Consider the following 13,879-nt stretch of genomic DNA (forward strand, 5'->3'; position numbering starts at 1 on the left):
TAAAAACTCCAGAACTGTGAGAAAATAAATTCCTGTTGTTTAAGCGGCCCAGTCTGTGGCACTTTGCAACGGCAGCCATAGAAAATTCATACACTCCACAAACGTTAGTTTCCTGATAGCCACACGATTCTATTTTTTTAATGGCTAGCTTTTAACTGCTATGCAATTGGATATAATGTAAATTATCTTGTTCTAAATTTAAAGGACAATGGAGTGTTCTGATGTTCATATGCAAGAAAGAAGAAAGGCAGCCTGGCTAACATGGTGAAACCCCATCTCTACTAAAAATACAAAAAATTATCCAGGTATGACAGTGCACACCTGTAGTCCCAGCTACTTGGGAGGCTGAGGCATGAGAATCACTTGAACCCAAAAGGTAGAGGGTGCAGTGAGCCAAGGTCATGCCACTGAACTCCAGCCTGGGCAACAGAACGCGACTCTTTTTCCAAAAAAAAGAGAAGAAAGGAAACTTGAGACTCAAAATCACCTTGACTCAGTTGCACATCGATTCTTCCTACAGCACTAGTGCCTAAGCATCAGTTCATTGCACATGAGTAAATGAAATTTGGTGTATTCTTGTTCAACATTGCCAAGCAGCACTCAGCGTGACTACTTGGGAAGAGAGGGGCCACTGTGTAGATTTTTCTCCGCATCTTTTAAAACACAAGAGGAATATATGGGAGACAGAGTTTACATAAAATGGAAAATAGGAATTCCAAAGCCTCTGTTGACAAAAAGAGTCAAACTCTGTAAAATATTTGAAGAGATTCATTCTAAGGCAAATATGAGTAACCAATGGCCTATGACACAGCCCTCAGGAGATCTTGAGAACATGTGCCCAAGGTGGTTGGGGCACAGTCTAGTTTTATACATTTTAGGGAGATACAAGACATCAATCAAATACATGTAAGCTATACATTGTTCTGGACAGAAAGGCAGGACAGCTCAAAGTGGGGGCTTCCTGGTTATAGGTAGATGTCAAATTTTCTGATTGGCAATTGGTTGAAAAAGTTATTATCGATAGAAAGAAATGTTTGGATTATGATAAGGGGCGGTGGAGACCAAAGTTTTATCATGCAGATGAAGCCTCCAGGTAGCAGGCTTCAGAGAGAATAAATTGTAAATGGTTTTTATTAGACTTAAGGTCTGTGTTGATGTTAAATGCTGGTCAGCCTTTCCTGAATTCCAAAAGGGAGGAGGACATAATGAGGCATGTCCAACCCTCCCTTCCCCGCATGGCCTGAAACAGATTTTCGGGTTAACTTTGGAATGCCCTGACTGAGAGGAGGGGTCCATTCAGATGGTTAAGGGGCCTTAGAATTTTATTTTTGGTTTACACCTCTCTGCAAGAGAACTTTTTATTTTACAAAGATATGCCTATTAAGTAAAACTATAAGCAAAACCAAAACCAAACGAAATCAAATCAAATAAACAACAATCAAATATACAAACACATTAAACAACCACAATCTAGCCCAGTTTACTGTGAGCTGCTTGAGATCTGAAATTGTCTTAATCATCTTAGCAAATCTAATGCCTAGAGCACAGTACCTAGCATGCGCTTGGCATCCAAGAACTTTGTTGTTTATGAAAAATATAAGGAAAATATTTGTTACGTTCAAATGAGCATCATATTTTTACCCTAAAGAAAGGAACATGGATTTAAAATAGACGTAAACTTTATTAAGACAAGCTAAAACAAGTTTAACTGTAAACCAAAACAACAGCAAAGCAGTGCATTGACAATTTCAGTCATAAATGAGAAACAACGCCAGATACATAGCAATTAGGGCATCAAGTTAAATTGCTTTGAGAAATTGTCACCATTCTAAACAAATCACAGAAAGGTAGTGAATTCATGAGCCTACAGGTTCTACTGGGAAGTACAAAGGTGAAGTGAACAATGCATTTCCTAAAAAGCCATTAATGATCCCATATGCCAACACTGTGGCAGAAAAAGAACATGTATAGCTACTCAGACCAAAATTTAAAAAGGGTCACTGAAGCCAATGACACACATTGACACATACATTCTTCGGACAAAAACTGGACTGAAGTGGGTGATAGAAGTCAGGGGCTGGCAGACTGGACTGTCCACATGAAACACAATGACAACTTGTTTGTTCAACTTCACACTTGGGCTATGGAGCAAGGGAGACAAACTCTGCTTCTGGAAGAAAAGGATAACGCTTTAGGGAGAAATGCCGGATTCCCTTGCCTCATCTCTGCAAAAGTGTCTTCTCACAAGAAGGGTGGATGAGAACTAATCTAGTTTTATTAGGCTGGTGCAAAAGTAACTGTGGTTTTTCCCATTGAAAGTAATGGCAAAAACCACAATTACTTTTGCACCAGCCTAATAGTTACTCAACTTGGATGAAAAAATACTTAAGCATGAAATGGGCATTCTTTGCAAACTGTCAAAGGTGACACCACTTTTGATGGCTTGGACTTGAAAGTTTTCTTATTTCTGTAACCTGCTTTTCACTTTTTATTGCAGAATGCTAAAAGAAAATATCAAGCATGAGCAAAAAGAAATCTCAGGCTTTGGATGCACTGAATATTGCCCACCTCTTCTTTCCCAGTTCACAAAAAAATCCTGGTGAAGACAGACAAAAGGGAAAGAATCCAGAGCTGTACTGGGGTTGAAAGAAGGATCATGGCTGACCGGGGTTTTGGTAGATTTTAGGAATGTGGAAAGCAGATGGGATGGCAATAATTCATAAAGAAAAGTTAGGGGGAGTGACAGCCTAACCTGAAGGAGTAGAGGGAGTCATGAAGAGCTTTCCTCCTGGGGCAGAAAGGGCAGTGAAGGGGAGGGGAAGAGGAGGTCTGGGTCTGTCAACACTCACCCTTACCTCTGCTGGGAAATAAAGCTTCTTAGGTGGTGTTGATGCTAGATTGAGGTCCCTGCACCTTAAACTGAAGCTGTCCAGTGACTATGCCCCATGTGCATTCACACAGCAAGTTCAGGAAACAGACACGCTTGGTGGAAGAGGAAATCCATGCCCGTTCCCACACTGACCAACTGAACTGTCCCGTCAACATACGGACAGCCAAGGATCACCAGACTTTTGAAGAAAACACAAACAGCACACGCACACACAAAAAAGAAGACCAGGAGTTTTAAAAACTGAAAAATTGGCCAGGCACAGTGGCTCATGCCTATAATCCCAGCACTGTGGGAGGCAGAGGTGGGCGGATCACCTGAGGTCAGGAGTTCAAGACCAGCCTGGCCAACATGGCGAAACCCTGTCTCTACTAAAAATACAAAAATTAGCTGGGCATGGTGGTGGGCACCTGTAATCCCAGCTACTTGGGAGGCTGAGGCAGGAGAATCACTTGAACCTGGGAGAAGAAGGTTGCAGTGAGCCGAGATTGTGCCAGCCTAGGCAACAGAGTGAGACTCCATCTAAAACAAAACAAAACAAAACCCTGAAAAATTGAACTAGAAAGAAACAGAGTAACCCAGGAAACAGAAGAGAATTAAAAAAAAATCTTCATTAGTACTCTTAAATTAAGAAGATAAGCTGAGCCCAATGGTTCATGCCTGTAATCCCAATACTTTGGGCAGCTGAGGCAGAAGGATCACTTGAGCCCAGGAGTTCGAGACCAGGCTGGGCAACATAGTAAGACTATGTCTTTATATAAAAATAAATAAAAAAACAAATAAAGTACCAAATTATTTTTAAAAAGAAAGTAATGCATCTATTGAAAGAAAAACATTAAAAAGAATACGGAACCATGGAAAAAAAGAGCGCTTAGAGAACAAGAACGTTTTCTTGGAAATAGAGGTGTGATTACCAAGACACAAGTTTATTAGAAGGGCAGGAAAAAGTAAACAAAAATATTTCCTAAAATGTATAGCAAAAATTCAAATATCTTTTTAAAAAGGTGAAAATAGTTAAAAGACATGGAGGATTATGATGGAGTCCCAGGAAAAGAAAACAGAGGACATGAATATGGAGGAAAATACAGAAGAAACATTTTCAGAATCAAAGCTCAGTCGTCAGATTGATAAAGCCCTCTGAACATGCAGGTGAATTTTTAAAAGGCCTACTACTAAATATAGCCTTGTCAGAGGTGTTCCAACCAGAGCAACTCCATCTTGAAGAGGGGCTGGGTAAAATGAGGCTGAAATCTCCTGGGCTGCAGAAACAGGATGTGGTAAAGAAGCTGGCCAAAACCCACCAAAACCAAAATGACAACTAGAGTGACCTCTGGTCATCCTCACTGCTCATTATATACTAATTATAATGTATTAGCTAAAATATATTAGCTAAAAGACTCTCCCACCAATGCTATGACAGTTTATAAATGCCATGCCAACATCTGGAAATTACACAATATGGCCTAAAAAAATGAGGAACTCTCAGTTCCAGGAATTCCCTGCCCCTTTCCTGAAAAACTCATGAATAATCCACCCCTTATTTAGCAGATATTCAAAAATTAACCATAGAAATACCCAATCAGCAGCCCCTGGGGCTGCTCTGTCTATGGAGTAGCCATGCTTTTGTTTCTTTACTTCTCTAATAAAGTTGCTTTCACTGTACTTTATGGACTCAACTAAATTATTTCTTGAGCAAGATCCAAGAACCCTCTATTGGGGTCTGGACTGGAACTCCTTTCCAGTAATAGTCTCAATGAAATTTCTGGACATCTAAAATGAAGAGAAAGTATAAAAATCTTACAGATAATGAAAAGTTTGTGATAAGAAGACAAGAAATTGTATAGGGTTTTCCTGTTCCTCAGTAACACTGGATGCCAGCAGAGAAGGAAACTGTGCCTTCATAATTCAGAAGGAAATATTTCAGAACCAAGAATTCCATGCCCATTCAAATCACCCAGTAAGCGTGAAGACAAGGAATCAGAAAATTTACCTTTTACACACTTTTCCTTAAAAATTACCTGAAAATCTTCAAAGTAATTCAAGAAAAAGGGAGATATGGAAACCAGGAATCAGTATATCCAACCTCATTATCCCAGAATGACATCTCTACTGCAGGCTTAGCAAGCAGCTATCAAAAATGAAAGGGAAAGTCAGCAGATTCTCCTCCCACAAAGAATCTCTGCAAGTAGAGCTGATTCTATTCAATAGAAAGTATGATGAAGAAGCTAGAACTCTTCATGATATGGTAAAGAAGGCATATATTTCTTTTCTCAACCTATTTTAAAAAGAGCTAATTGGAAAAATGTCAGGAGAAACGAGAAACTTTGCAAGACAATAATGGTCTAAATATGTAGCAAACTAAAATAAGGCATGCTTTTGAGTCCTACTGGAATGAAGAAAACTCACTTGACCTTGACACTTGGAAATTGCTTCTCTGAGAGTCAATTTGAATAACACTAACTTGCACTGCAAGTTAGTGCTATAAATTTCTCTGAAGTTCTCTTCTCACTAATTGTTTCTACAGAGAAGAATATTTCCATAATTTTACCCTGTGACAGTTCTAAATTTTAGACTTAACCTATAGACAAAGCATGGAAGACCTAATTAGAGTTACAGAGTCTGTGTAAAGATAATAATACAGCTGGTAGACATCTGGAGGAGGCAGAGAGAGAGAGAGCACTTAGGGCCTCTAAGTTTCTTCTTCAGCCTGTAGAGAAGAGATGTCAGGCTGGGCGTGGTGGCTCACAGCTCTAATCCCAGCTCTGTGGGAGGCCATGGTGGGAGGTTAGCCTGAGACCAGCCTGGGCAACATGGTGAAATCCCGACTCTACAAGAAATTTAAAAATTAGCCATGTACAGTGGTGCATGCCTATAGTCCCAGCCACCCTGGAGGCTGAGGCAGGAAGATTGCTTGAGCCCAGGAAATTGAGGCTACAGTGACCTGTGTTCTTGCCACTGCAAGATCTCCTGTGAGATCCTGCCTCTTAAATAAAAAAAAAAAAAGGAATACCTAAAACAGGTAAAATAAAACACGTAAAATTAAATATATCATTTGAAGTGACATTTATTACTGACAAAACTCAGGACGTGAGAAGTTTACAGGAACTAAGTCATTCATTTTTCATAGTTGAGAGTCAAGTGATACTGTCAAAAGTTACAAATCACTACAAACTTATAGTTTAGGATTTTAGAGGTCACCACCAAAAACTAAAGATAGATAAGTTTAAAATCACTGGCTCTAAAGAATGAGCTGAGGGAGATAGAAGATACTTACTTTCCATTTAATACTTCATCATTTCCACCCCCAAAATTAATCTTTTAATAATGATAAAAATAGCAAAATGATAACGTCTTAAATAAAAAATGTAAATGTAATGCCAAAACCCAAAAACCAATTACAATTACAAATTTTAAAACACCAAAGCCAGCGGGTCGTGGTAGCTCGCTCCTGTAATCCCAGTGCTGTGGGAAGCTGAGGCAGGAAGATCGCCTGAGGCCAGGAGTTCAAGACCAGCTTGAACAACAAATGGAGACTTCATTTCTACAAAAAAATTTTAAAAATTGGCTGGGTGTGGTGGCTTACATGAGTAGTCGCAGCTACTTGGGATCTGAGGTTGGGAGGATCATCTGAGCACAGGAGCTTGAGGTGGCAGTTAGCTAAGACTGTGCTACTGCACTCTAGCCTGGGTGACAGAGAGACTCTGTCTCTAAAAATAAATAAATAAACCCCAAACCCATTAAATACAAACTTGATATCCAGGTTTTCCCAACTTCAGATCAATTTCTCCTTTAACACAGTGGAGAGTGACAGAAAAAGTTTGGGCTTTGGGGTCACATAGACTTGGACTTGAATTCCAAGTTTAGCACTTACTAATAAAGTGATCTTTGGCTTAATTCACCAATCTCTCCCAAGCCTCAATTTCATCAGTCACAAAAGAGTGGTAAAATTGAGCATGAAGCATTATTATGACAATTTTTTAAAAGACAATGTGTATTAAAACACATTGATAAGATAAAAATATAGTAAAACCTGAAATAAGATAAAAGAGATTAAAATACTACTATGTGCCAGGCACATATTAAGCACTCAACAAGCTGTTAGTTGTTATCATTACTATCCCGCTCTTCTGGATATAGAGCTGGCAATTGAACAATAAAATCAAATTTAATAGCATTATATTTCTAGGCTACCACAATGAAGCAATCAATAATTGGATCTCCTTTGTGCCTCCTGGAGCCGTGATTCTCAGGCTTTCATATGCATATGAATCACCTGGGATTCTAGTTATAAATGCACTTTCTGATTCAGGGAATCTGGATGGGCCCCAAGGCTCTGCATGTCTAAGGAGCAATGTGGAGGCTGCATTCTAGGGACCACACTGTGAGAGTCAAGGCCCTTGAAGACAGAATGGGCTCCTGACGTCAGGTGATCCACCCGCCCCGGCCTCCCAAAGTGCTGGGGTTACAGGCATGAGCCACCTCGACCAGTCTGGCCAACATGGTGAAACCCTGTCTCTACTAAAAATACAAAAAAATTAGCTGGGCATAGTAGTGGGAGCCTGTAATCCCAGCTACTCGAGAGGCTGAGGCAGGAGAAGCGCTTGAACCCAGGAGATGGAGGTTGCAGTGAGCCAAGATCGCGACACTGCACTCCAGCCTGGGTGACAGAGTGAGAACCTGTCTCAAAAAAAAAACATAAAACAAAAAACAAAAAAAAGAATGGGCTGGCAATGGTATTTACAGATGGGAGATTTTCATAGTATAAATGTGTAAAACTGAATGATTTCTTATTTACATCTATCTTGCTCTTTTACATTTAGAAATGATGTTAGATAATAAATGAGTACAGACAGCATCTTCTGTAAAAGGTCAGTGTGGTCCAACAGCTCTTGTCCCACAGTACTACCCAGGGATCTGTCCTTTGGTTTGCTGATGCAGTCACCATGTGAACAGCTGGGCACAGTTTATGTCCAACGCTTCCTCTTTGGGCCCCTGCTTGATCCCATGCCTTGGTCACATGCATGGGGTAGGAAATCTTTCAAACTATTTTATTCTGAAGCAATTTTGCCTCTTTGACAACTGCGCATGAGGGTATTTTCACAAGTATTATACTGTCACAGTAAGTCTGACTCAACTACAACGTTTAGGGAGGTATTTTAAATATTTCATGTTTACAATTCCTTGGGGAAAATATGAGCAATGTCCCAAAAATTACATATGCAATTTGAACCAGCAATCCCACTTCTAGGAATCTACCCTCAAGATACCCATTTTGTGGTGGGCAGAAAGATGGAGCCCAGCAGATGTCCACATCTTAATCCCCATAGCCTGTGAATATGTTACTTTACATGGCAAAGGGATTAATAGATATGATTAAATTAAGGCCCTTGAAATGGGGAGATTATCCTGAATTAATCGGTAGGCTTAATATAAGGGGCCCTTAAAGTGAAAGAGAGAGGCAAAGAGGTCAAAATAATGTGATGTGAGAAGATCTCAACCCATTGTGGCTGGTGCCGAAGATGGAGGAAGGGGCCACGAGCCAAGTAATTGGAGGGGCCTGGCAAGGGCTTCCTAGGACCTCAGAAAGGGATGCAGCCCTGCAGACACCTTGACTGTGGCCTGGTGAGACCCATTTCAGGCTTCTGACCTCCAGAACTAATGTGTCTTTCACAAATTGAAATGGCATATGCGTAAGGCCATCACTGTGGTTTCTCTTGAAACAGCTAAAGATTGGAAACAACCCAGATGTCCATCAATAGGGGACTTGTTGAATAAATACAGTAGCATACCCTGCACTTACAAAAAAGAATGAGGAAAATCTCTGTATCTAATGTGGGCTGACCTTCAGAACATATTTTCAAGTGGAAAAAAAAGCAATGTGTAGACAAGGTGTATAGTATGCTACCTTTTATGTAGGAAAGAAGGACTATATTCTTATTTGGTAAAGAGAAACATGGTAAAGATAGGCCAGAAATAAATTAATAAAAATCATTACTTATACTGTATGGGAAGAAGGAGCTAGAGAAGGCAAGTAAAACTTCATTGAACATTTTTATATATAATTTTGACTCTTGGGCCATGTAAATATTTTACAGATACAAGAAATAATATTGAATTTTAAAATAATTTACAATAAAATTAAAATGTCTGTATTTACTAGTTTTCTGCCTATGTTCTGTATTCTAAAACCCTCCCTAGACTTTTACTTTGCTCCTAATGGAATTCTATCCCAATGCAAAACAAATACCCAAGATCAAGAAACTGCTTCCTGACAGAACAGTCAAAATTGGAGCTTGAAGGTGGGTTAGAAGTGAAAATTTCTGCTGATTTCACTGTTCCTTAAATAATATTCTGACATTATGGACCCGGTACACGACTTAACAAAGGAAATAATTATAGACCGACTCATCTCATAGCGTTGGCAACAGCACCATCTGGTGGGAAAAACCTATAACTTTAAAATCGCAGTACTTATATTTTCTTTTTTAAGGGGCGAAATTCTTTTACATGCGAGAGTAGCAATCAGAAATGGTTGGTTAGTAAGATATTATTAAATCCTAGGTGAAATAAGCCTACACTTAAGGCAAGATGTTGATGGATTACATTTTAAAAGTGCACACAGCTTGCACAAAATCATTACTGAACCTTAATGCAACAAGAAGAAATTTTGACAAAATTTGTTTTGGTATCAATTATATACATGCCAAAACCATGCAGCGGGTCATGCTTGTAATCCCAACATTTTGGGAGGCCAAGGTGAGAGGATGGCTTGAGCCCAGGAGTTCAAGACTAACCTGGGCAACATGGCGAGACCCTGTCTCTACAAAAAGTTTAAAAATTAGCTGGGCATGGTGGCACATGCCTGTGGTCCCAGCTACTTGGGAGACTGAGATGGGAGGATCACTTGGAAGTTAGAGACTTCAGTGAGCCAAGATTGTACCACTGCACTCCAGCCTGGGCAACAGAGTGAGACCCATTATTTTTATAATGAATCTTACAAAAATACAGCCTGTTTTAATAAAAAACAAACAAAAACAGCAAGGTTGAATTATAACACTGTCTCTGATTATCTGCATTCCTAAAATTGAGATGACAGAAGCTACCATGGGACTAAAGTCTTTGAGTAAAATGCACCTTATTTATTTTTCCTCCTTTCTCTACCAGTATTGGCAAAAGAGTGAAATCATTTCTTTGCCCAGTGCTTATCAAAAATAGGAGATTTTCTCTTTCCTTTAAGATGAGTATTTACATACTAGGCTGAACATACTAGGCTGAACCAGAGAACTGAGGCAATTAGGCAGTTTGGGGTAAAAATAACTTAGATTTTAAAATCTTAAAATAACCATCATAAAAATACCATTTGGATAATTGCTTCAATTGCTCCAACATCCAAGTGGCTGTCAGATGAATCAATTCAATTCAAAAGAAATTTATTGAGCATGTACTAGGTGCCTTGCACTGCCCTGATTCAGGTAGTGGGAAGGGTAGTGGAGCTGCCTAAGAGATAGGGAAGCTTCTTCAAAATTAACGAAAGAGGGCTAGGCATGGTGGCTCACACCTGTAATCCCAGCACTTTGGAAGGCTGAGGCGGGTGGATGATTAGAGGTCAGGAGTTTGAGACTAGCCTGGCCAACATGGTGAAACCCCGTCTCTACTAAAAATATAAAATTTAGCTGGGTGTGGTGGTGCTCACCTGTAATTCCAGCTACTCAGGAGGCTGAGGCAGGAGAATCACTTGAACCCAGAAGGCGGAGGTTGCAGTGAGCTGAGATCACACCATTGCACTCCAGCCTGGGCGACAAAGTGAGACTCCATCACAAAACAAACAAACAAAAACCGGAGAGCTTTGCATTTAGCTATCATATTTAAAAGTGGCTGCTAGTGGCATTGAGTGTGGGGGCATGTGGCTAAAGGAAATGTCCTGGGGTCGCAAGGATGGAGAAGAAATAACAAATAAAACATGAAGGTAGAGAGGCAAGGATGAAGATGAACAAAAGTGGTGGAAAACAGACACACATAAGGATAAATGAAACCAGGAGGCTAATAAAAAGGGAGGAAGAAAAGTAGTGGAAATCCACATGCACTTTCTCCTAAACTGAAGCAGAGGCTACAGACGTGGACTTTTCTCTTCAGCTAACACTGAGTTCTAAGTGAGGTTACATTCGAGAATTACCATCTCTCCTTGCATCCGCTATCACCTTAGCTGCAGACTTGCTCATCACATGCACAATGTAGAGAGGACAGTTCACAGCGCTGGCTATGGTGATGGCTCTCAGCGTGGCCTCTGCCTCCACTGCCTCTGGGCGGCACAGCTCGTGGCCCTCAGGGCCTGTTATCCCCAGAGCCAACATCTTCTTTGCTCCCTAAAAAGACAGCAGGAATGTGTATATGTGCAAGGAAGGTTTACTAATGACAGATATCATTATTTTATCATAAATTAAATGCAATGCCAGGCTTTTGATCTGTTAGGTATAGGGGTGTGTGTGTGTCTGTGTGTGTGTGTATATGAACATATTTGTGTAAATATATCTATAACACATATATATATAACATGTATATTTGGTAAAAATAATTTTGATATTCTAATCATATAAGTTAATTTTCCATATGCATATTTTACCATCACTTTTTTTTATTGAAAAGGGGAAAAAGCAAGCACAAGCAACCAAAGCAAAAATGGACAAATGGGATGACATCAAGTTAAAAAGCTTCTGCATAGCAGAGGAAACAATCAACAAAGTGAAGAAACAACCCACAAAATGGGAAAAAATATTTGCAAACTACCCATCTGACAGGGGATTAAGAAGCAGAATATATACAAAACTAAAACAACTCTACAGGAAAAAAAGTTAATAATCTGATTTAAAAATGGGCAAAAGATTTGAATAGAGATTTCTTCAAAGAAGACATACAAATGGCAAACAGGCATATGAAAAGGTGCTCAACATCACTGATCATCAGAGAAATGCACATCAAAACTACACTGAGATATCATCTCACCCCAGTTAAAATGGCTTATATTAAAAAGACAGGCAATAACAATTGCTGGTAAGGATGTGGAGAAAAGGGAACCTATGTACGCTGTTGGTGGGAAGGTAAATTAATAAAACTGCTCTGGAGAATAGTTTGGAAGTTCTTCAAAAGACTAAAAACAGAGCTACCATATGATCCAGCAACCCCACTGCTGGACATATATGCAAAAGAAAGGAAAATCAGTATATCAAAGAGATATACCTGCATTCCCATATTTGTTGCTGCACTGTTCACTACAGCCAAGATCTGGAAGCAACCTAAGTGCCCATCAGCAGATGAATAGATAAAGAAAATGTGTTACATATACACAAGGGAGTACTATTCTGCCATAAAAAAGAATGAGATCCAGTCATTTGCAACAACATGGATGGAACTGGAGGTCATTATGCTAAATGAAATAAGCCAGACACAGAAAGACAAACATTGCATGTTCTCACTTATTTGTGGGATCTAAAAATTAAAACAATTAAACTCATGGAGATACAGAATAGAAGGATGGTTACTAGAGGCTGGGAAGGTTAGTGGGGAGGGATGGCGGTGGGGAGAGGGGGGAAGGTAGGGATGGTTTGTGTGTAAAACAAAAAAAAAGAAAGAATGAATAAGATCTAGTACTTGATAGCACAACAGGGGCACTATAGTCAATAATTGCACCTTTTGGCCGGGCGCGGTGGCTCACGCCTGTAATCCGAGCACTTTGGGAGGCTGAGGTGGGCAGATCACAAGGTCAGGAGATCGAGACCATCCTGGCTAACACGGGGAAACCCTGTCTCTACTAAAAATACAAACAATTAGCCGGGCGTGGTGGCGGGCACCTGTAGTCCCAGCTACTCGGGAGGCTGAGGCAGGAGAATGGTGTGAACCCGGGAGGTGGAGCTGGCAGTGAGCTGAGATCGCACCACTGCACTCCAGCCTAGGCAACAGAGCGGGACTCCATCTCAAAAAATAATAATAATAACAACAAATAAAAAATAATTGCACCATTTAAAATAACTAAAATAATATAATTGGATTGTTTGTAACACAAAGGGTAAATGCTTGAGGGGATGGATACCCAATTTTCCATGATGTGATTCTTATGCATTGCAAGCTTGTATCAAAATATCTCATGCACCTCATAAATATATACACTACTATGTACCCCACAAAAATAAAAAAATTTAAAAAGAAAAGGTGAAAAAGATATGAAGTTATTTCTAATCACATTCTTTGAAAAGCAATATCTATATTTAAGACAATATTGATTCAGACAAACAAAATAAAAATACTGTGGATCCTTGTTGAAGTGACTCACTGTCATACTATGTAATCAGTTTTACTTTTATTACGGAATAATCCTCTTCACTTGCTCCCCAATCCAACCCACTAAATGGTATTGGACCTGTTATCTTTCTTCTTCAAAATGTTATTTCTTCCTTACAAAAAGAGCATGCAGTCCAGACTTAGAGTGGTAAAAATACTTCCTGTTGTCATGAAACTATAAAGCAGAAGTCCAATTTAAACCCTGGTCTGTTTTTTGTTTTGTTTTGTTTTTACAGCTCACGCTCCCTTCTCATTATTCCTCTCTGCCTTGTGGCCACTGAGCCTCAATCTCACTCACTTTAATGGGAGCTGAGCCTAAGGAGATTAAAAAAAAAGTCAGCTAATATAAAGGGCAAGAGACAGCTCTTTAAATCTTGCAGATGGTGTATCCTTCAGGCATTAATAATGGGACTAACATGAGAAATAAATATCATCTAGTTTCCTCCAGAGCACATTTTAATATCCAGTTTCTGAAAAGAGCAGGGCTTTAAACAGCTACCTAATACACTGCTTAAGTCATCAGATGACACTGATGTTGACCACGCTTTGGTATTCTGAACCAGCAGCCTAAGCTTCTGAAAAACAACAACAAAGCCAAAAGTATGCTGGAGGACACAAAGAAAAGTATTTGTGTTTTCATAACTGCACATGTTTGAGATC

The 13,879-nt window shown here is 39.6% G+C and overlaps 1 protein-coding gene across 9 annotated transcripts in view; it reads right to left on the minus strand.

The window, feature by feature from the left end:
• Positions 1-13,879, minus strand: part of DPYS (dihydropyrimidinase) — an 87,625-nt gene that overhangs the window by 53,757 nt on the left and 19,989 nt on the right. For all 9 annotated transcript variants that reach the window (XM_047421418.1, XM_006716518.4, NM_001385.3 and 6 more), the window contains one exon: positions 11,061-11,250. In XM_047421418.1, coding sequence (XP_047277374.1) covers positions 11,061-11,250 — 190 coding nt within the window. The remainder of the gene's footprint in view (positions 1-11,060; positions 11,251-13,879) is intronic.

This window comes from Homo sapiens, chromosome 8 (assembly GCF_000001405.40).
Source record: "Homo sapiens chromosome 8, GRCh38.p14 Primary Assembly".
NCBI lineage: Eukaryota > Metazoa > Chordata > Mammalia > Primates > Hominidae > Homo > Homo sapiens.